The sequence below is a fragment of the Homo sapiens genome, chromosome 19 (assembly GCF_000001405.40).
Source record: "Homo sapiens chromosome 19, GRCh38.p14 Primary Assembly".
NCBI lineage: Eukaryota > Metazoa > Chordata > Mammalia > Primates > Hominidae > Homo > Homo sapiens.
In genome coordinates, this window is record NC_000019.10 from 50,772,590 (window position 1) to 50,795,238 (window position 22,649).

Sequence of the window (22,649 nt, forward strand, 5' to 3'; positions counted from 1 at the left end):
TAGGTACAACCATGTGACTGCTTTCTGACCAATAGGATGTAAGAGGCAGCAATCAATGTAACTTCCTTCAAGGGCCCCTTAAATGGAAGGGGTCTGCCCTCCATTTCCCCATTTCCCCCTTTCTATTGTCCGGAATGCAGATGTATCAGTTACCTTTTGCTGTGTAACAAAAACCTTCCATGTTTAGAGGCTTAAAAATATAAGTTTTTTTTTTTTTTCTGATAGGGTCTTGCTCTGTTGCTCAGGCTGGAGTGCAGTGGTGTGATCACAACTCACTGCCACCTCAATCTCCCAGGCTCAAGTGGTCCTCTCACCTCAGCCTCCTGAGTAGCTGGCATGTGCCACCCCATGCCAGGCTAATTTTGTATTTTCAGTAGAGATGGGGTTTCTCCATGTTGGCCAGGCCGGTCTCAAAATCCTGACCTTGAATGATCTGCCCGCTTCAGCCTCCCAAAGTGCTGGAATTACAGGCATGAGCCACCACACCTGGGCAGAACTACTTCTTTGAATCATGAGCAAGTGGTGTGACAGCTTCTGGATTGCATGACATTTTTCTTTTGCCTCGACCTAGAGCCAAGGGAATGGCCTGTTGTGACCAGGGACCACTGGGACTTCAATCCCCAGAAAGGACTATTCTTTACATGCATCAGTTTGGTTTTGGGGTGTTTTAAGTAACAGAAAACCTGACTCCAACTGGCTTCAACAATAAGGAAATTTATCAAGTCACTTCACACAAGTTCCAGAGGTTGGCAGCATAATTAATAGTTAAGGGGTAGATTCAGCTGTTGCAGGAGAGACACAAAATAACAGTGGCTTCAATGAGCTGGGATTTGAAACCTCCCCTTTCACAACCTGGGTGTAAGCATCTCAGGGCTGGCCTAGGGACTCCCGGGGGACACGGTAGCTTTGCATCAGGGCTGCTGTGGCAGATTACACAAATGGCCCCCGTTCTGCATACCTTCCTGCATGCGTGCTCCTTAGCAATGTCACTCTTTAGATTTTCCCATCAAGGGGTGGAGTCCTTTCCTCACACCTTGAATCTAAGCCAGGCTCGTGACTTGCTTTTTGACCAGTAGCTTGAGTGCTAGTCACCTTGTGCAGAGTTCTGAGCCTCCCCCTCATACTTTCCTTACTCTTGGAACCCTCCCCAACCATCACACGAAAAAGCCAGCCTGCAGGATGATAAGAGCTATGTCTCTAGTAAACATACAAAAATTAGCCGGGCATGGTGGCAGACACCTGTAATCCCAGCTACTTGGGAGACTGAGGCAGGAGAATCGCTTGAACCTGGGAGACAGAGGTTGCAGTGAGGCAAGATCTCATCACTGCACTCCAGGCTGTGTGACTGAGACTCTGTCTCAAAAAAAAAAAAAAAAAGAAAGAAAGAAAAAGAAAATAAAAGAAATGTAAAAGAAAAAAAAAAAAAGCAGCAGCTCTGACTTGCCCTGAGAACTCCACCTCTCAGAGCCTCGGTTGCCCCAAGTCTATAAAATAGAAGCAAGTGTTTCCATCTTCTGGATGAGGAGATTAAATGACACAGTGACTGAGTGCCAGGAAACACAGACGCACCTTAAAAAAATTAACTCCTGTGGGAGGCTGAGCGGGGAGGATTGCTTGAGCCCAGGAATTCGAGACCAGCCTGGGCAACATGATGACACCCCATCTGTACAAGAGATTGGCATGGTGACGCATGCCTGTAGTACTGGCTACGTGGGAGTCTGAGATAGGAGGATCACTTAAGCCTGGGCTGTGGAGGTTGCAATGAGCTGAGATCGTGCCACTGCACTCCAGCCTGGGTGACACAGTGAGTCTCTCTCTCTAACTCTCTCTCTCTCTCTCTGTCACACACACACACACACACAGAAAGAGAGAGAGAGAGAGAGAGAGAGAGAGACCTACCTATTCTGTTGACTAGTGGATCTGATTAAAAATAAATAAACTGGGGAAAGTATTATTTAAAAAAAAAAACTTGAAAGTGATGAGAAATAGTCCTCCCTTTCATTCCAAATCCTCCATTGTTACTTTTTCTCACGAGAAAACTGTTACCAGTTTTTTGTGTATCCAACCCATGCATAAGCACTTTCTTTCTTTCTTTTTTTTTTTTTTTTTTTTTGAGACAGAGTCTTTCTCTGTTGCCTAGGCTGGAGTGCAGCAGTGAGATCTCGGCTCACCGCAGCCTCCGCCTCCCGGGGTTCAAGTGATTCTCCTGCCTCAGCCTCCCGAGTAGCTGGGATTACAGACACCCACCATCATGTCCAGCTAACTTTTGTATTTTTGTAGAGACAGGGTTTCACCATGTTGACCAGGCTGGTCTTGAACTCCTGACCTCAGGTGGTCTGCCCGCCTTGGCTTCCCAAAGTGCCTGGGATTATAGGCGTGAGCCACCGCTCCCAGTGCATAAGCACTTTCAACACAAATAGAGCATGCCATAGCTATGATTCTACATCGTGAGTATTTTCCAAAGAGTATACCTTTGGGACGGCAATACATAAGATATCTAGCACATGACTTTTCAATGGTGGTGGCTAAGTATTCCCTTATATGTATATACTGTGCACGGAAGTAGTGTTCCCTAATCCCCTACTGATGAGTTGCTTTGAATTTGATGCAATGATATTTTTGAAACTTTGAAAATTATTCAATAAAACACACATTCTGAACAATACATAAAGAAAATAGAATGGGGGGAATTTGTTTGATTTATCACTAAGTGAACAACCAGGCAACCCAGCCATAAAACAATGTGGCCACCCCAGGGCTCCCCTCCCACCTCCTCGCCCTCTCAGTCAGTCCTCCATCTCCTTTAAAGATAACTTTTGTTTTGTTTTGTTTTGTTTTGTTTTCTGAGATGGAGTCTCCCTCTGTCATTCAGGCAGGAGTGTAGTGGTGCGATCTCAGCTCACTGCAACCTCCGCCTCCCGGGTTCAAGTGATTCTCCTGCCTCAGCCTCCCTAGTAGCTGGGATTACAGGCATGTGCCACCTCATCTGGCTAATTTTTTTTTTTTTTGTATTTTTAGTAGAGATGGGGTTTCTCTATGCTGGCCAGGCTGGTCTCAAACTCTTGGCCTCAGGTGATCCACCCGCCTCGGCCTCCCAAAGTGCTGGGATTACAGGCGTGAGTCTCCCCACCCTGGCCAATATATTTCAATTAAATATATCAATGCTGATATTTGTCCATCCTCACATTTTGTCGGTCTCTCTCTCCATCTGTCCACGCACTGTAGTACCTCCAGTATGATGAGCAGACAAGACGGGGACATGAGGTCTGGGAAACCCAGGGAGGGAGCCCTCAGCATACCCACTGTGCTGCAAGGGGCACAATGCTCAGAGGTACCTCCCAAAAATGTTGAACTGTGTTAAAGTCGGCGCAGGTAGGACGTCACGATATTTTACCTATTAATTCTTCAGCCTGTATCTTCTAAGAACAAGAGCATTTTCCCTGTAAAATTATAATATTATTATCTCCCTCAAGAACTTTACCATTGGTATTATCTAATAAACAGGCCATATTCAAATTTCCTAACTGTTCCAATAATAAACTTTAGAGCAATTTTTTTTTTTGAGTCAGGTTCTTGCTTTGTTGACCAGGCGGGAGTAGAGTGGCATGGTCATAGCTCCCTGCAGCCTCGAGCAATCCTCCTGCCTCAGCCTCCCAAGTAGCTGGGACGACAGGCATGTGCCATCATGCCCTCATTAAATTTTTTTTTGTAGAGACAGAATCTTGCTATGTTGCCCAGGCTGGTCTTGAATTCCTGGCCTCAAGCAATCTTTCTGCTTCAGCCTCCCGAAGTGTTGAGATTACATGTGTGAGCCGCTGCCCTTGGCATGGAGCATTTTTTAAAAAGCAGGATCCTGCAATGATATTCTCTGCCTCTCCTTGAAAAAAAAAAAAAAAAAAAAGACTATGCATTAGGTCACAAATAAAACATAGGTTGATTCCCCAAAGCAGAGGTAATACAGGCCATATTCAAATTTAGAAATTAATAACAAAAGATGAAAAAAATGCTTCAATTGCCTTGGACATTGCAAAACACCCTTCTAAATAACATCTTGGTTCAACTGTTAATTAAAACTTAAGTTCTACTTCATTTAAAGCACACTACATATAAAAACTTACGGCCAGGCGCGGTGGCTCATACCTGTAATCCCAGCACTTTGGGAGGCTGAGGCAGGCAGATCACCTCTGGTCAGGAGTTCGAGACCAGCCTGGCCAACATGGTGAAACCCCATCTCCACTAAAAATACAAAAATTAGCCAGGTGTGGTGGTGCATGCCTGTAGTCCCAGCTACTCAGGAGGCTGAGGAAGGACAATCACTTGAACCCTGGAGGTAGAGGTTGCAGTGAGCTGAGATTGTGCCACTGCACTCCAGCCTGGGTGACAGAGCAAGACTCTGTCTCAAAAATAAATAAATAAATAAATATTTTTAAAAAATCTTATGAGATGGGGCCAAAGCTGTGCTCAGAGGAAAATCTATAGCTTATTTATTTGTTTTGTTGTTGTTGTTGTTGTTTATTTGAGACAGGGTCTCACTCTGTCACCCAGACTGGAGTATGGTGGCACCATTGCTCACTGTAGCCTCAACCTCCCAGGCTCAAGTGATCCTCCCACCTCAGCCTCCCCAGTATCTCCACCATGCCCAGCTATTTGTTTAATTAATTAATTAATTAATTAATTTATTGGTAGAGATGGGGTCTTGCTATGTTACCAAGGCTGATCTCAAATACCTGAGCTCAAGCCATCGTCCTGCCTTGGCCTCCCAAAGTGTTGAAATTACAGGCGTGAGCCACTGCACTCAGCCTTTAATTTAATTGTAATTAGAAGAGAGAGAGAGAGAGAGAGAGAGAGACAGAGAGAGAGAAAGTCCGAGAGGAAATTAGCAAAGCAAACAATTCAGGAAGAAAAAAAAGCTATAAAATAGTGCACTGAAAGTTGAAAGAAAGCGTTCATAGAGATTAGAGGGAGTTAATTTTAAGTAAAAAATTATGGACAATAGTAAGAAGCTGGTTCTTTGGAAGGAGAAATACTCTTTTCCATGTTCTGTCTCTCTCTCATGTGTGCACACAGGTACACACACACAAAACCAACAATAATATTCTTTTACGTTTGTGTTTGTGTACTTTTGTGAATGCTTCAAGAAGGCAGAAGAGCACAATGGGACACAAGTTGCTTCCACTCTCTGTGCCTCAGTTTCCACCAATGTAAAATGGGGATAATGGCAGTAGCTCCCTGAGAGGGTCCCTGTGAGGATGACTTGCGTTGCCGTGGGTGGGGCGCTTGGCTCCGTGCCTGGCACCGAGGAGGTGCGATGTGTTTGCTGTGATCAGTATCATCCTCTGTTGCATAAATTCCTCCTGGGGAACTGCCGGGTTAGAGGGAGTGTTCGATGTCGCAGACGCCGCCGCGAGCGCTCTGCAAGCCTGTTTCCCACGGCTTCGCCAACGCAGCAACCGCCAAGTCAGCCTCTTTGATCTTTGCCTTCTCAGAGGAGAAAAGTGGGATCCCGGGGAGGTTTTTAATTTGCATTGATTTTCTAATGAATGCGGTTCAGCATTCTTCCAAGGAGGCTCTGCGGTTTTTAGAGCTGGCTGCAGGATCCTCCCTGGGGAGACGTGGTCTTTGCTGGGGCAGAGCCAGGCGCGGTGGTGGAGGTGGGTTTGAGTCTCGGGGAGCGCGCGGGAGCTGGGCACGGCCCCGTGCTTGAGAGGATCTGGCATTTTCCTGGGCAGCCTCGGCGAGAGAGAGTCGTGGAAGGTGAGTTAAGCCTCCGGATTATACTCTGCCAAGCAGGGACTAAAAATTCGTATCCAACAGAATTGCTAAGACAGCTGAAGACTGCGATTCACGCCTTCATCCCTTAAATAATGACAGCTCACAGGTATTGATCGTGACCTAAGTACCAGGCCCTGTCCAGAGCTTTCTAAACATGTGAACTCCCAAAGTCAGCATCACAACCCTGAGGGCGGTGCTGCGATTATTCCCGTTGTACAGAGGAGGAAACTCGAGGCTCAGAGAGGTAAAGTCATTTACCGAAGGTCACACAGCTGGCTGGGTACGGTGGCTCACGCCTGTAATCCCAGCACTTTGGAAGGCTGAGGGGGGCGGATCACCTGAGGTCAGGAGTTCGAGACCAGCCTGGCCAAAGATGAAACCCCCGTCTCTGCTAAAAATACAAACATTAGCCGGGTGTAGTGGTGCATGCCTGTAACGCCAGCTACTCTGGAGGCTGAGGCACGAGAATTGCTTGAACCCGGGAGGCTGAGGCTGCAGTGAGTCGAGATCGTGCCACTGCACTCCAGCCTGGGCGACAGAGTGAGACTCCGTCTTAAAAAAAAAAAAGAAGAAAGTCACAAAGCAAGTAAGTGTAGGATGGGAATTTGACCGGTCTGACTCCATTAACCCATCCAGTTATGTTTACCGAGCGCCTGTCTGGTGAAGGTCACTGTTTTTGGTGTGGGAGAAAGGCAAAGAAGACAAAGATACCTACCTTTGAAGGACTAGCATTCTAGGGAGTAGCACTGACATGCCGGGGGCAGTGGCTAACATTTAAGGGCGAGGGGCTAGCATTTAGGGGGAGTGGATAACTTTAGGAGGCGGGGCTAAAATTCCAAAGGGAGAAACTGATCTTCCAGGGAAAGAAATTGACATTCAGAGGGGAGGGACTAACATCCCAGGGGGAGGAGCTAATATTCCAGGGAGGAGGAGCTAACATTTCAGGAGGAGGGGCTAATATTTTTAGTACAATTATACACTGTTAATCACTACCTCTGTTTCTAACATTTTAGGGTAATTGCATGCTCTTAATCACTACCTCTGATTCTCTCAGGCAATAAAGGAGGGGCCAACCTTTATGAGGGAGGGGGTAATATGCCAAGGGGAGGAACTGACAATCCATGGGAAGAAATGGACATTCTAGGGGGAGGAGCTAACAACGAGGAGGGGCTAACATCGCAGGAGAAAAATTGACATTTAAGAGGGGAGAAGCTAACATCGCAGGAGAGAAATTGACATTTCAGAAGGGAGGAGCTAACATCATAGGAAAGAAATTGACATTTCAGGGGGAGGAGCTAACATTGCAGGGGAGAAATTGACATACAGGAGGAGGGGCTAACATTCAAATAAGGGTGCTAACATTCAGTGGGAGAGGCTAACATTGCAGGGGAGAAACTGACATTTCAGGGCAGGGCTGACACTCTCCATCCTTCAGATTCTACAGCCTCTGCCTCCTTGCTATACCCTGTCCCTACAAGTATTGGCTGAGCTCATAGTAGGTGCAAATCTCTGCCACCCTGGGGATTTGAACATGCCTGAATAGAATGGAGTCTGCCCTCATAGAGCTCGCAGCCTGGGGGCAGACAGTTCTGAACGGAATGATTACACAGAAAGACATTCACCTCCCAGGCAGGAGAGGTAATCACGCGCTCTTAATCACTACCTCCGTTTCTCTCAGGCAATACGGGAGGGGAGGCGGCACCCCCATCGTGGCCTGGTTTGAGATGTTCCCAGCCGTAGGAGACAGACTGTCATCAAGTGTCGGAAAATAGCTGTCATGGGAATCCTCACCTCCTGACACCTTCCCAGCCCCGTGCTCCCGAAACCCTCCCCGCGTGGCTGCAGAGTTGTAGGTTCTGCTCCTGGTGACGGGCAACCCCGTAATCTCCAATGCTCACGGCAGCTCTGCTGGGGCACAGCAGCTCCTGGGGGCCAAGGTCCCAGCCAGGACGTGGATGTCAGGGCCGAGACTGGAATGTAGAACCGTGGGAGTCCAGAGCCCAGGTCCTTCCCCACGAACCACCAGATGTGGTGTGGGTTTCCTGGTTTCCGTTCTTGTTCAAGTGGAATAAAAGGAAAAGGTGGGGGAGTGACAGCCACACCTAATGTCCCCCCACCATGGTGGGGGATTTTTGTCTGTTCCCTTTGCTGCCGTGTCCCCCGTGCCTGGGATGCGCCCAGTGCTGAACGATGCCCCTTTGCACATATACAGTCTCACGCTGATTGATCTGGGTTTACTAAGTGTCAGTGATTCACTCCCTTGAAAATGGGAGCCCCATTTTCAATGTGTGACTCCCATTGTGATCGTAGGTTCTGGGGACCCACAGAGGACAGGCCCAGACCCTGATCTCAAAAACGCCTCAGAGGCCAGGTGCGGTGGCTTACGCCTGTAATCCCAGCACTTTGGGAGGCCGAGGTGGGTGGATCACTTGAGGTCAGGAGTTCAAGACCAGCCTGGCCAACATGGTGAAACCCCATCTCTACTTGTGTGCAAACAGAGCTTGCTGGTCCTCGCACATGGGACAGAATGAGGGACAGGAGCAGGCCACCGGCTTTTCTGGTTTCTGAAGGAGTCTGTTGTGAAATATGCAAGTGCCTTCCGACCATGCGCACCAGGCCCTCTGCCCTGGGGAACAATGTGCTTCACGTTCCTTCATTTTCAAGCTCCTGAATGTTTCCAAACTAAAATGTAAATTTGGCCCCATGTTTTGAGTCTTTGATGTATCCACGGAGCTCCCTCTGAAATGCACTCAGCTCCAAGAGGAGGAAAATCGACCTCTGTCTTCTGGGAACGCATTACAGCGAGGGCTCTTGACCCTGGCTGCACAGCAGAATCTCTAGGGAGAGCTTTTAAAATAAAATCGATGCCCGGGCCCCATCCCCAGACCTTGTGGTTTAAGTGGTCCAGGGTGGAGCTCGGCTCTGGGAATTTCAAGACCTCCCCAGGGATTTCTGCGGGCAGCTGGGCTGAGACCCATCTCTCTGTGGTTGTGAAAATACAACCTCGGGCCAGGCATGGTTGCTCACGCCTATAATCCCAGCACTTTGGGAGGCTGAGGCAGGCAGATCACTTGAGGTCAGGAGTTTGAGACCAGCCTGGCCAACATGGTGAAACCCCGTCTCTACTAGAAATACAAAAGAAAAAAGAAATGCGAGCATGGTGGCTCAAGCCTGTAATCCCAGCACTTCGGGAGGCCAAAGCAGGTGGATCACCTGAATTAAGGAGATCGAGACCAGTCTGGCCAACATGGCGAAACCCCGTCTCTACTAAAAATACGAAAATTAGCCGAGTGTGGTGGTGCACACCTGTAATCCCAGCTACTTGGGAGGCTGAGGCAGGAGAATCGCTTGAACCCAGGAGGTGAAAGAAAGTTGCAGTGATCCAAGATCTTGTAACTGCACTCCAGCCTGGGTGACAAAGCAAGATTCCATTTCCAAAAAAAAAAAAAAAAAAAAAAAGAGAAAAAGAAATACCAAAAAAATTACCCAGGTGTGATGGCACCTGTAATCCCAGCTACTCAGGAGGCTGAGACAGAAGAATCGCTTGAACCCGGAAGGTGGAGGTTGCAGTGAGCTGAGATCGCGCCACTGCACCCCAGCCTGGGCGACAGAGCGAGATTTCGTCTTAAAAACAAAAAAAAGAAAAAGAAAAAGAAAATCCAACCTTGATAGCTCCCAGAGGACTGAGAAAGGCAGCACTGAGTGGTTCAAACCCTGGGGTGCGGATGGGAAACTGGGGTGAAAATGCAAAGACCAGCTTTGTTGTCAATATTCGTTAGTGGTGGTGGGGGTGCTGTGGCTCATGCCTGTAATCCCAACACTTTGGGAGACCATGGTGGGAGGATTGTTTGAGACCAGGAGTTCAAGACCAGCCTGGGCAACATAAAAAGACCTCATCTCTACTAAAAAAAAAAAAAAAAAAAAAATTGCCAGGCATAGTGGCGTGCACCTGTGGTCCCAGCTGCTAGGAAGGCTGAGGTGGGAGGATCCCTTGAACCCAGGAGGTAGAGGCTGCTGTGAGCCACGATCACGCCACTGCACTCCAGTCTGTGTGACAGAGTGAGACCCTGTCTCAAAAAAAAAAAAAAAAAAAAAGAAAACTGTGAACTGTTGCACAAATGTAAGGTTTGATGTTATCTTCTTCCATGTACTGTCAACTCCTTAAGGGTGGGAATGGTGTCTTTTTTTTTTGCTCCCTCCATGGCACCCCCCACCCCCATCCTGCGCTCAACACAGGACTGGGTGTAGAGATGACCTCATAAAACACACTGCACGGTAACTTGCATGGTGGCTTAGCAAACAAGAGGTGCTTAATAAATGGTAGCTAACGACAATGAAAAAAAGTGTTTCCCAAACGTTGACAGCCAAGCCCCAACTGTGGGTTCAGCAGGGGTCAGATGCTGTTCAGAGCGACCCCACCCTGAAGCTCCCTGTCACAGCCGGGAATAAGGGGAGGCAAAGTTGGGGCAGCAGACAGGAGAGTCTGACTTTGCTTAGCGTTCAAGGAAGCCTCAGGGGAGAGGTAGGGAAGTGACACAAAACAGACATGGGAGGCTGGGCGCAGTGGCTCCTGCCTATAATCCCAGCACTTTGGGAGGCCAAGGCGGGCGGATCACCTGAGGTCAGGAGTTCGAGACCAGCCTGGTCAACATGGTGAAACCCTGTCTTTACCAAAAATACAAAAATCAGCTGGGCATGGTGGTGGGCACCTGTAATCCCAGCTACTCGGGAGGCTGAGGCAGGAGAATCGCTTGAACCTGGGAGACGGAGGTTGCAGTGAGCCGAGATTGCGCCACTGCACTCCAGCCTGGGCGAAAGAGCGAAACTCCGTCTCAAACAAACAAAGACATGGGAAAGGGCATTCCAGGCTGGGACCCAGCAGTGCAAACGCGTGGTGCTGCATTTGGGACTATCTTCGAGTTCGCCGTGGCCAAGAATACACCAGGGTGGGCATGGGAGGTGGGTGAGATTTTTTTTTTTTTTTTAAGCCTGGAGGGGGTCAGGTTACATGCAGCCTCCAATGCTCAGTGGAGGGCCTGGGATTCTTATCTTGGGTGGGGGCACAGGGCCACTGGAGGGCTGTGAGGAGAAAGGGACAGGGTCAGCTCTGGGTCCCGGAGGACCCCTCTGAGGACTGGAGGAGAGAGAGAGAAGGCTGGGGTGAGGGTCCAGTGGGGGAGGAAGCCCAGGCAGGGAGGAGGGAGGAAGTGGCCAGGACCCCCCGCCCCCCGGTCTCAAAAAATTGTGGTTTTGAGTGAGACTCTGTCTCAAAAACAGACAGACAGACAGACAAACAAACAAACAGTTGTGGTTTTGCCAAAACCAAAGTTATTTCTTGCGCTCAACCCTTAAGGCAACCAATTTCTGGCTGAGAAAATAGTGCAACACCGCCACTATGTGGTTATTTGGAGTTTTGCAGCCAAGAATTTGAAAGTAAAGCCAGCCTCCAAATCGGGAAGCTTTTGAGAACTTCAGGAGGGCACTATTGCCACTGACGCTAAAACATTAGCCTAAAATGTTGGTGATCCACAAAACTTCTATTAATTCGAGATAAAATTATAGTGCAACTATGAATGTTTATTACTGAAATTTGGGGCCAAGCGCGGTGGCTCACACCTGTAATCCCAGCACTTTGAGAGGCCGAGGCGGGCAGATCACTAAGTTAGGAGTTCAAGACCAGCCTGGCCAACATAATGAAACCCTGTCTCTACAAAAAATGCAAAACTTAGCCAGGCGTGGTGGCGGGTGCCTATAGTCCCAGCTACTTGGGAGGCTGAGGTAGGATAATTGCTTGAACCTGGGAGGTGGAGGTTGCAGTGGGCCGAGATCGCGCTAGTGCACTCCAGCCTGAGTTTAACAGAGCGAGACTCCATCTCAAATAAAATACAATAAAATAAAAAGAAATTGGTGAGGCCGGGCACAGTGGCTCATGCCTGTAATCCCAGTACTTTGGGAGGCTGGGGCAGGTGGATCACCTGACGTTGGGAGTTCGAGACCAGCCTGACCAACATGGAGAAACCCCATCTCTACTAAAAATACAAAATTAGCCAGGCGTGGTGGCGCATGCCTGTAATCCCAGCTACTCGGGAGGCTGAGGCAGGAAAATTGCTTGAACCCAGGAGGTGGAGGTTGCAGTGAGCTGAGATTGCACTGTTGCACTCCAGCCTGGGCAACAAGAGCAAAACTCTGGGAAGAAGGAAGGAAGGAAGGAAGGAAGGAAGGAAGGAAGGAAGGGAGGGATGGAAGGAAATTTGTTGGGCTTTTTCAGGAAAACCTAGCACGTGCAGTCAACCCTACTCCAAAGCTGGCTTTTCAGATATTGAGCTGAAATGAAATTGCTTTTGACTAGATGAGAAGGTAGGTGAAATGCAATTGAAGGTGGAAGTGTCCCCCAGGGCATTGACCTGAGGATGCTGGAGGTAGAGGCAGGGGGTGGGGGAAGGGCGCTAAGCAAGGGGGCTGCTAGCGAACTGCCTGTGGGGGCGGGTCTGCACATTTTTATAGGAAGGGACATTGCTGGTGGGTGTTGAAGGTTAAATAGGAGTTTGTTAAGAAAAGAGGCTGAGCACAGTGGCTCACACCTGTAATTCCAACACTTTGGGAGGCTGAGGTAGGAGGATTGCTTGAGGCCAGGAGTTAGAGACCAGCTTGGGTGACATAGTGAGACCCTGTCTCTAAAAAAAATTAAAAAGTTAGCTGGGCATGGTGGTGAACACCTACAGTCCCAGCTACTCAGGAGGCTGAGGCAGGAGGACTGCTTGAGCCTGGGAGTTCAGGGTTGCAGTGAGCTATGATCATACCACTGCACTCTAGCCTGGGCAATAGAGTGAGATCTCATCTCAAAAAGAAAAGAAAAAAGAGGAAGATGTGTTGATACAGTATGACAGTGATGAAGATGATGACGATAACTACAGACCCACTGCAGCTGACAAAGTGCATTCACATTTTGGATCTCTGGCTGCCCTGGCTGTGGTTTTTTGGGGCCCATTGGACAAAGATTTTCGCCTTTGTCTGATGGAGAAGAAATCACGGGATCAAGGGAAATAACAAATCCGAAGTACACAGCAGCCTGTGTTGGTGCCGGGTGCTCAATGTGCCCTGCTTGTTCTTCCCTCTGTGCCCTTACACCAGGTTGAAATGTTCTTCCTCTTCTTGGAATTTCCCCACAGACTCCTACTCATCCCTGAAAACCCAGCGCAGATTCCCAGCTCCTAGCCTCAAACCTGCGAGGGTGGGTCCTCACCACTCTCCTACCTCAGACCCTGGAGTCCGGACCCCCACCCCACTCCCTTCTGAAACACAGAGCCCCAGGTGTGGTGTAGGCCCGAGGCCGGGCGCAAGGGCAGTGGGTCGGCGGAGCAGGATGTGCGGATTCAGTTACATTTATCTGGCCTCAGAGCGATGGCAGAGGGAGAGGCAGGGCTCTTGTGCGGGGAGGTCCTGTGTCTTCTCACTGCTGAGCCTGAGAGAGGAAAACAGGGACATATACAGAGATGTGGGAGAGAAAGAGAGACCAAGATGACAGAACTGGACCAGGGAGACAGAGACTCAGCCCCCACCTCCGCTCTTCTCCCGCTCACCTTGTTGAAGAAATAGATGGAGGTCAGGATGGTGAACAAGGCCATGGCCAGGGTCACATTCTGGGGGGGAGATCAGAGGTCAGGACCCTTCCCCTCCCTGCCCTCTGCCCAGCCCCAGGCCTCCCTTCCCTGCCAGACCCCTCCTCACTTCCTGAAAGTTCATGGCCTTGGGACTCCAGCCACCCCTTGGTTGGTCTTCTCTCTCTTTCCTGGGCCTCTGAGCCAGAGGGGGGAGAAGCCACTGGAACTCCGAGAGGGGGTTGTCGGAGAGACCAGAATGGTGGCCATGGCAACGGGGAAAGGGCATTCTGGTAGAGGGGACAGGCAGGGGCATAGGGCAGATACAGACCCTGGTGTGGCCCGCCACATGTGGTGTCTGAATGTGACATCGGGACGTGTGAGATTGGAGAGTCTCAACCCTGAACACCATACTGAGGTGTTTGGGTTTTGCCCCGGAGGGTGCTGGGGAGCCATGAGAGGGTTGAGAGCAGGGGAGGGACCAGGTCAGTTCTGGGTATAGAAATATCTCAAAACAGGAGCCTGCAGGCCAGGAGAACAGTAAGGGAGGCCCAGGCAAAATTTCCTCCTCCAGATGGGAGGATCACTTGAGCCCAGGGGGTTGAGGCTGCCATGAGCCAAGATCACGCCACTGCACTCCAGCCTGGGCAAGAGTGAGATCCTGTCTCCACAACTAACAACTAAGAAAAAATAAAATAAAATACATATGATACATTTGTGAGATACCTATTTACCTATCTATCGCTACCACAAAAATGGGGACTATACAATCTGCTACTCAGGTAGCTATTTGCGTTATTTGTGGCAGATATAGTCTCGCTATTTTTGGTAGTTATGTTGTACAACTGTGAACACTTATTGGGGAAATATATGTGTGTGTGTGTATATGTATACACACACACACACACACACACACACACACACACACACAAACACATATATATAGGGTTGGGTGCAGTGGCTCATGCTTGTAATCCCAACACTTTGGTTAAGTGAGACAGTAGAATTGCTTGAGCCCAGGAGTTCAAGGCCAGCCTGGGCAACATTGTAAGACCCCATCTCTTTAAATATATATAAATATAGGCCAGGTGCCGGTGGCTCACACCTGTTTTCCCAACACTTTGGGAGGCCGGGGCGGGAGGATCACCTGAGGTCAGGAGTTTGAGACCAGCCTGGCCAACATGGCGAAACTCCATCTCTACTAAAAAACAAAAAAACAAAAAAATTAGCCGGGCATGGTGGTGCACGCCTGTAGTCCCAGCTATTTGGGAGGCTGAGGCACCAGCAACACTTGAACCCCAGGCGGAGGAGGTTAAATTGAGCCGAGATTGTGCCACTGCACTCTAGCCTGGGCAACAGAGCGAGACTCCATCTCAAAATAATAATAATAAATAAAAATAAATAAATAAATAGAAAATAAATAGAAAAATATATACTTTTATTAATGAAGCAATGGGTCCTTATTTGCTGATTCAGTGGTCACAGTTATACAACATCGCTACTATGAATAACAAGAATTGATTGTAAACACGGTACCTCACGGCACTACCCAGAACATTCCAGAAGGCAACACATTCTGCAGAGCAAACGGCACCGTCTCTCCAACAAATCCATGCCACAGTGCAAAACAAAAGCAAGTAGCCTTGCTATATTTGAAAAAAATCCGTTAAGAGACACAAGACCAGCTTTGAGGGGTGATCCTGGACCGGGTTTTGGCTTGGACAAAACAAGTTATAAAGGCTCTTTGTGGGTGGAGGCCGAGGTGGGCGGATCACCTGAGGTCAGGAGTTTGAGACCAGCCTGGCCAACATGGTGAAACCCTGTCTCTACTAAAAATACAAAAATTAGCCAGGTGCAGTGGTGTGCACCTATAGTCCCAGCTACTCAGGAGGCTCAGGCACGAGAATCATCAGAACCCAGGAGGCAGAGGTTGCAGTGAGCCGAGATCGTACCACAGCACACCAGCCTGTGTGACAGAGTGAGATCCTGTCTCAAAAAACAAAACAAGACAAAGTCTCTTTGGGGAGAAACGGAGGGACATTTGAATAGGGAATGGGTATCAGACAAGACGAAAGCACTACTGCCAAGGAGAAGAGGAGGTTAACTGAAAGACGCAGGTTACAAAATTGCAGGTTCTGTATGATCTCATTTTGGTAAGAAGTACATACATGAAAAACTGCATTTAAACATCAGGTTTCACTCTGTCGTCCAGGATGGAGTGGAGTGACAGAATCAGGGCTCACTGCAGCCTCGACTTCAGGCTCAAGCGATGAGTGGCTGGGACTACAGGCATATGCCACTACACCTGGCCAGTTTTTTGGTATTTTTAGTAGAGATGGGGTTTCACCATGTTGCCCAAGCTGGTCTCAAACTCCTGGATTCAAGTGATCTGCCCACCTTGGCCTCCCAAAATGACAGGATTACAGGTGTCAGCCACCATGCCTGGCCCAGTTATATTGATTTTAGACTTCCAACCTCCAGAACTGTAAGGGAATAAATGTGTGTCATTTTAAGCCACTGAGTGGTAACTTGTCACAGCAGCCAATACATCAGTAGATAGGAAAGTGCTGACATCTCCAGGGGCTAGAACGTGGTTTCTAGTTTCTTAATTTTGCTTCAGGATTTTTTTCTCTTTTCTGTTTTTTTTAGAGACAGGCTCTTGGTTTGTTGTCCAGGCTGTAGTGCAAAGGCACAATTACAGCTCACTGAAGCCTCAAATTCCTGGACTCACGTGATCCTCCCATCTCAGTCTCTTGAGTAGCTGGGACTACAGGCAGATGCCACCATACCGTGCCTGGCTAATTTTTGTTTATCTTTTATAGAGATGGAGTCGGGTGCGGGGGGTGGGTCTCACCATATTGGCCAGGCTGGTCTTGAACTCCTGGCCTCAAGCAACCCTCCCACCTTGGCCTCCCAAAGTGCTGGGATTACAGGTGTGAGCTGCCAGCTCCTGGTCTGGCTTAAGCCTCCAGCCCTTCTACTTCTTTATTCCAGGGGCCTCTACCCTATTTCAAGTACGAGGAGAGACAGAGATTCACAAAACTTTTGTATCTGGTGCAGGGGCTCACACCTGTAATCCCAGCACTTTGGGAGGCCAAGGTGGGAGGATTGCTTGAGCCCAGGAGTTTAAGAGCAGTCTGGGCAACACAGCAAAACCCTGTCTCAAAAAACAACAAAAACCTAGGACAGGACTGGAGGCTGACTGTGCGCAGTGAGGCAGGAGAGCCAGCCAGCCCCAGGTGGTGCTGCGAAGTGTAGATTTTATTAGCATTGTGGGATGGTGAGGCCGCCTGAGCAGCAGACGATTGCCATTGAAAGATGACTTGTTGGCTGGGCATGGTGGCTCATGCCTGTAATCCCAGCATTTTGGGAAGCCGAGGCGAGTGGATCACCTGAGGTCAGGAGTTGAAGACCAGCCTGGCCATATATATATATATACAAAAATTAGCCGGGCATGGTCGCGTGTGTCTGTAATCCCAGCTACTAGGGGGGCTGAGGCAGGAGGATCGCTTGAACCTGGGAGGTGGAGGTTGCAGCAAGCTGAGACTGTGTCACTGCACTCCAGCCTGGGAAACAGAGTAAGACTACATCTCAAAAAAAAAAAAAAAAAGGAAAGAAAAGAAAAAAGAAAGAAAGGAAGATGACTTGTTATACTCACAGCTTCCCCAGAGGAGGGGGCATGCCACAGGGGCCACATGGGGACGCACCAATGGTGCCCAGGAGGTAGACCACGAGCAAGCGGCTTCCTTGTGTTTTCTGTGGGATAAGGTAGGGTAAAGAGTGGCTGGTTGCGCCATTTCAGCAGGCTCTGGGGCACAGGGGCTGTCCTGAGTTGTCCGATACCCTGCCCCGGGTGATCAGGGCAGGTGGATGGTGGCCTGGGTGGTGGGTTGGCTGGTTTGTACAGGAGAGGCATGCGCTTGGGCCAGTCCCTGACTATCTCCAGGAACTGGTAACCCTGGGAGGGGTGGTCCTTCTACGATCAGCAAGGCCCCTGATGTCAAAGCATCAGAGTACAGAAAATCAAGCACATAGTTACTATCGTCAGCCTCTGCAACTCAGGGGGTCAAGACTGTTGCTGAGACGAACAATGTGGGGTGGGGGTCTCTGTCCAAGTCTGCAACCAGGTTAAAGGCACCTGTGTTCAAATCGCAGCTTTGTCTGAGAAATCTGTGTTTTCTCAGGCCAGTTAGGGAACCCTTCTGTGCCTCAGTTTCCCCATCGGTACAATGGGGATGGTGGTAAGCACATCAGTGTCTCCTGGGGCAGCGATGAAGATGAAACGAAGATGAAACGGGTTAATCCAAGGCTGGCAGAGGCGCTGGGGAATGGGATCTGTGGCCCCTGGGGGAGCGTGCCAGGGCCTGCTATAATGGGGGTGCTGAGTGCAGGGCTGGGACAGGCGGGGCTGCGGCCCAGACAGTGGGCTGAGCTCAGCGTCTGGGCTGGGTGGAAATGGCCGGCCTGGGGTTTTGGGGCCACCCTGCTGGACCTCTCCTGCTGCTGCTGCTGCTGGTGCTGCCACCCCGGGCCCTGCCAGAAGGACCCCTGGTGTTCGTGGCTCTGGTGAGGCGCCCCCACCCCGGCCTGCCCTTAGCTCCCCCAGGGCTAGCCCTGACCAGTCCTGTCCCCAGGTATTCCGCCATGGCGACCGGGCCCCGCTGGCCTCCTACCCCATGGACCCACACAAGGAGGTGGCCTCCACCCTGTGGCCACGAGGCCTGGGCCAGCTGACCACGGTGAGAAGCGGGTAGGCGGTGAGGGCAAGGGTGGGAGGGGTGGGGAGTGGTAGGCTGAGGCTGTTCTGTCCCCAGGAGGGGGTCCGCCAGCAGCTGGAGCTGGGCCGCTTCCTGAGGAGCCGCTACGAGGCCTTCCTGAGTCCGGAGTACCGGCGGGAGGAGGTAGGGCCATAGTGACCCCCACCTGGCCCCCTGACCTCCCACCTGTGACCTCCACTGACTACAACGCTCTCTTTGGGCCTCCACCTCTGGCCTTTGACCTCCATCAACCTGACTTGCCCTCTACCTCTAATCTCTGACCCCCGATACACTGACTAACCCACACTGACTTCTGACCCCATCTCAACCTGTCACATCTCGACCTCTGACCTCCATCAACTCTGACTTTATTTTCTGGCCTCCATCTCTGTTTTCTAAGTCCCATTGACTCCAGTCAGACCTCTGGCCTCTGACATTTGACCCCAAACTTGATTTCGATCTTTGACCCTTGTTGACGTAACTTGCCCTCTTGACCTCTAACCTTTAACCTCTACGCTTTATCAATTCTGACCTACCTTTTCTGTCTCCTCCTATGTCTTCTGACATCCCCCAGCTACAGACAGTCCTCCTAACCTCTGAAGAACATGTATTGAACTCTGACTCCAAGTCCTCCAAGCTGCCCTCCTAAACTTGACCTCTAACCTCCAGCCTCTACTGATTCTGATCTTCCTTTTTGACCCTCATTGACTCAATTGACCCCCTAAATCCAACATGGCTGTCCAGCTTAGGACGTCCAGCCCAACTGCTCCTGACATTAGCCTCTGGACCCTTGATCCCAACTTCCAACTTCGAAGGCCACATGATTCTCAGTGTCTGACCCCTACTCCAAAGTGAATCTGAGGCTTCTGATTTGCCACGACAGCTGACCTCTGTCCCCAACCACGACCCCCCGCGTGCCCTCTCTCCACCCCGCTCCAGGTGTACATCCGCAGCACGGACTTTGACCGCACGCTGGAGAGTGCCCAGGCCAACCTTGCCGGGCTGTTTCCCGAGGCTGCTCCAGGGAGCCCCGAGGCCCGCTGGAGGCCGATCCCGGTGCACACGGTGCCCGTGGCTGAGGATAAGGTCAGGGGGCTGGACCCACGTGTGGCGAGGGAGGGAGCGGGTGGAGAGAGAGGCAGCTCTGGGTCTGGCCGCCTGAGCTGGCTCCGAGAAGCAAGACTGTCCTCGAGCTGGTCTGTCCAGACCAGGGTGAGCCCCGGCCCACGCTGCTCTCCTGGATCTGGGAGAAACTGCGACAAAGACGCAGGGGCCGAGAGCCCGGGTTCCCCCGACCCGCTGTGAGACCCAAGGCAAGGCACACGGCTGTCCTCTCTGAGACTCAGTTTTCCCCAGCTGCTGAGGTTCCCCATGCGCAGCTGTCCCCGATACCACGAGCTGCTGCGGGAGGCCACCGAGGCCGCCGAGTACCAGGAGGCCCTGGAGGGCTGGACGGTGAGCAGGGCGGCGGTGGGGGGCGGGATGCAGGGGATGGGCCTGGGCTCACCCAGCCCCGCGCATCCAGGGCTTCCTGAGTCGCCTGGAGAACTTCACGGGACTGTCGCTGGTTGGAGAGCCACTGCGCAGGGCATGGAAGGTTCTGGACACCCTCATGTGCCAGGTGAGCCCTGCCCCTTCCCAGCCAAGGGTTTAAGGACACCTGTTTCCAATCCCAGCTTGCTACTCACTAGCTGTGTTCCCTCAGGCATGTAGTTAATCCTCTGTGCCTCAGTTTTCCCATCTGCACAGTGGGGATGGCAACACCGGTATCAACACCTCCCCAGGACGCTGTGAGGATTCAAATGGGTTAATCCACGCACTGTGCTTACAATAGTGCCTGGTGTACAGTGAGGGCCTTGCCAGGGTTTGAGGCTACACATTTGGCAACTCCTCCCCACAGTCCTATAATCAGAAAACCCAAAACCTGGGCAGCGGGAGCTGACCTGAAATGATGCAATGCTTTTTTTTTTTTTTTTTTTTTTGGAGACAGGATCTCACTCTGTCACCCAGGCTGGAGTGCAATGGCATTATCATAGCTCACTGCAGCCTCCATCTCCCTGGCTATAGGAATTCTCCTGCCTCAGCCTCCCAAGTAGCTGAGGCAGGCAGGGGCACACCATCATGCCTGGCTAATTAAAAAAAAATTAATTTTTTGCAGAGATGGGGTCTATGTTGCCCAGGAACTCCTGGGCTCAAACAATCCTTTCGCCTCCCCAAGAGCTGGGATTACAGGCGTGAGCCACCATACCCAGCTAGTACTCTTGCTAGTCTTTGCTCACTCCAGCTCACGGGAATGTTCTGAATCGCAGGGTGGGAGCAGTGATGTGTGTGACTAAGGGGGCTGCCCCGGCCCTTGCTGTGTGTGTTCCATGCTGTGTGGTGTCAGCACCATCAGACCTTTCTAAAGTCCAGAATGTCTGAGCTGTGAAATACCTCTGGCCCCAGGGGTTTCAGATAAAGCCTTCTGGGCTGTGTAATGACGATGTCTATTATTAACTAATAATCGCTGTTGGCTGGGTGTGGTGGCTCACACCTGTAATCCCACCACTTTGAGAGGCTGAGGTGGGCAGATCACCTGAGGTCAGGAGTTTCAGACCAGTCTGACCAACACGGTAAAACCCCGTCTCTACTAAAAATAAAAAAAAAAAATTAGCCAGGAATGGTGGCACACACTTGTAATCACAGCTACTTGGGAGGCTGAGGCAGGAGAATCACCTGAACCCGAGAGGCAAGGGTTGCAGACAGCCAAGATTGCGCTACTGCACTCCAGCCTAGGTGATGGAGCAAGGCTCCGTTTCAAAACAAAAAACAACAACAAAAAAACACTGTTATCCACATCATGATTTCCCAGCCAGATCCAGATCCGGCCCATGGGGGGACTCAGAAGAGCAGGGGGCAGCACAGGCCTGCGGGGCCAGAGGCAAACTCGAGGGCTCAGGATGGTCCATCTGTCCTGTCTCCCCACAGCAAGCCCACGGTCTTCCACTACCAGCCTGGGCCTCCCCAGATGTCCTGCGGACTCTTGCCCAGATCTCGGCTTTGGATATTGGAGCCCACGTGGGCCCACCCCGGGCAGCAGAGAAGGCCCAGCTGACAGGGGGTGAGGTGTGGGTCTGGGAGGCTGGGGTGCCTTCCTCTGGGAGAGTCTAAGCTCTTTTTTCCCATCCTCAGGGATCCTGCTGAATGCTATCCTTGCAAACTTCTCCCGGGTCCAGCGCCTGGGGCTGCCCCTCAAGATGGTCATGTACTCAGCTGTGAGTCCTTGGGAAGCAGTGCCACATGGCACTGAGGCACAGGGATGAGGGTGACAGCGATTTAGGTGAGGAAGAGCCTGTGGTCCCAGTGGATCTCAGCCCACTGCCTGGGGTAACCCGTATCTCCAAACCCTACTCTCAGGCTCTACCATTAGTCTGGAAAGAGGGAGGTGACGGTGTTATGGGAGGAAGAATTTATGAATAAATATAATTCCTTGTTTTCTTTAAGAAACTATGATTGGACTAAGCAGTCTGTCCTTCCGGAGGAGAAAGGCTGCTTAGTCCAATCATATTTTGCACCTACTTGAGCAATCTTTATTAAGTGGCCGCCTGCAAATGTTGGTACTGCCTTCAGGATGGGAGGAAGGAGTAGCTTTGGGGGGTTGGTTCTAAGAAGCCTGGGGGACATCTGGATGCGCAAGTGTAGTGCTCAGGAGAAAGGCCTCCAGAGAGAAGTGCCGTCTCAGCCCTCGGGTCCACCTGCAGCATGACAGCACCCTGCTGGCCCTCCAGGGGGCCCTGGGCCTCTATGATGGACACACCCCGCCATATGCTGCCTGCCTCGGCTTTGAGTTCCGGAAGCACCTGGGGAATCCCGCCAAAGATGGAGGGTGAGAATGGTTTGGTGCCCAGGGACATGGGTGGGACAGAACTCTCAAAGCAAGGGGTGATGTGTCAGGCAGAGGGCATGGCCAGGTGGGGAGCTGCATGGGATGATGCTGGGAGGATGACAGGTGGGAGTCAGAAGCCCTTTTCTCCAGGCTTTAAGATCAATGACAGGAGGGAGGAGGTGCCACCATGTCCTCTCTCTCCAGGAATGTCACCGTCTCCCTCTTCTACCGCAATGACTCCGCCCACCTGCCCCTGCCTCTCAGCCTCCCCGGGTGCCCGGCCCCCTGTCCACTAGGCCGCTTCTACCAGCTGACTGCCCCGGCCCGGCCTCCCGCCCATGGGGTCTCCTGCCATGGCCCCTATGAGGCTGCCATCCCCCCAGGTGACAGTCCTCTGTGTTGGGGTGGGAGTGGAGGGTTGCCAAGTCCTGGCACTCACCCCCCGCGTGTTCTCCCTGCAGCTCCAGTGGTGCCCCTGCTGGCCGGAGCTGTAGCTGTGCTGGTGGCACTCAGCTTGGGGCTGGGCCTGCTGGCCTGGAGACCAGGGTGCCTGCGGGCCTTGGGGGGCCCCGTGTGAGCCAGAAACCAGGGCTTCCCTACCCCCAGCTGACACTGGACCCCAACATGTATGCTCAGTAGCTGCTCTGGCTTCTGTGA

The 22,649-nt window shown here is 51.1% G+C and overlaps 2 protein-coding genes and 1 long non-coding RNA gene across 3 annotated transcripts, besides 7 other annotated features; 1 reads left to right on the plus strand and 2 right to left on the minus strand.

Annotated features, from left to right (window-relative positions):
* Positions 5,024-5,848: an enhancer, noted in NCBI's record as "H3K4me1 hESC enhancer chr19:51280870-51281694 (GRCh37/hg19 assembly coordinates)". NCBI's record gives its function as "activates a minimal SCP1, AML or CMV promoter by ChIP-STARR-seq in naive H9 embryonic stem cells {active_cell/tissue: H9 hESC(naive)}" and the evidence as "EXISTENCE:reporter gene assay evidence [ECO:0000049][PMID:30033119]".
* Positions 7,967-8,137: an origin of replication, noted in NCBI's record as "20mer1 M amplicon; peak of nascent strand synthesis detected by PCR of lambda exonuclease-treated nascent DNA". NCBI's record gives the evidence for it as "EXISTENCE:nuclease protection assay evidence [ECO:0001106][PMID:16707432]".
* Positions 8,035-8,054: an origin of replication, noted in NCBI's record as "20mer1; can confer replication of a plasmid". NCBI's record gives the evidence for it as "EXISTENCE:genetic transformation evidence [ECO:0005027][PMID:16707432]".
* Positions 11,023-11,317: a silencer, noted in NCBI's record as "tiled region #1509; HepG2 Repressive DNase unmatched - State 12:CtcfO". NCBI's record gives its function as "represses a minimal TATA promoter and a strong SV40 promoter by Sharpr-MPRA in HepG2 cells {active_cell/tissue: HepG2}" and the evidence as "EXISTENCE:reporter gene assay evidence [ECO:0000049][PMID:27701403]".
* SMIM47 (small integral membrane protein 47) lies at positions 13,139-13,571 on the minus strand. Its single transcript, NM_001384597.1, has 3 exons — positions 13,501-13,571; positions 13,353-13,412; positions 13,139-13,234 (listed from the first exon to the last, which is right to left on the minus strand). The coding sequence occupies exons 1-3, from the start codon at positions 13,513-13,515 to the stop codon at positions 13,223-13,225; spliced, it is 87 nt and encodes a 28-aa protein (NP_001371526.1). The 5' UTR covers positions 13,516-13,571; the 3' UTR covers positions 13,139-13,222.
* Positions 14,792-20,709, minus strand: LOC105372439 (uncharacterized). The gene is made up of 4 exons (XR_936026.3): positions 20,376-20,709; positions 19,816-19,915; positions 17,029-17,126; positions 14,792-15,853 (listed from the first exon to the last, which is right to left on the minus strand). It is a non-coding gene; the product is annotated as an uncharacterized LOC105372439 (long non-coding RNA).
* Positions 17,826-22,630, plus strand: ACP4 (acid phosphatase 4). Its single transcript, NM_033068.3, has 11 exons — positions 17,826-17,936; positions 18,005-18,109; positions 18,185-18,271; positions 19,067-19,213; positions 19,484-19,582; positions 19,653-19,748; positions 21,095-21,227; positions 21,299-21,381; positions 21,868-21,992; positions 22,197-22,375; positions 22,454-22,630. The coding sequence occupies exons 1-11, from the start codon at positions 17,826-17,828 to the stop codon at positions 22,567-22,569; spliced, it is 1,281 nt and encodes a 426-aa protein (NP_149059.1). The 3' UTR covers positions 22,570-22,630.
* Positions 21,696-21,755: an enhancer, noted in NCBI's record as "active region_14996". NCBI's record gives its function as "activates an Ori minimal core promoter by ATAC-STARR-seq in GM12878 lymphoblastoid cells {active_cell/tissue: GM12878}" and the evidence as "EXISTENCE:reporter gene assay evidence [ECO:0000049][PMID:35858748]".
* Positions 21,846-21,975: an enhancer, noted in NCBI's record as "active region_14997". NCBI's record gives its function as "activates an Ori minimal core promoter by ATAC-STARR-seq in GM12878 lymphoblastoid cells {active_cell/tissue: GM12878}" and the evidence as "EXISTENCE:reporter gene assay evidence [ECO:0000049][PMID:35858748]".
* Positions 22,446-22,505: a silencer, noted in NCBI's record as "silent region_10977". NCBI's record gives its function as "represses an Ori minimal core promoter by ATAC-STARR-seq in GM12878 lymphoblastoid cells {active_cell/tissue: GM12878}" and the evidence as "EXISTENCE:reporter gene assay evidence [ECO:0000049][PMID:35858748]".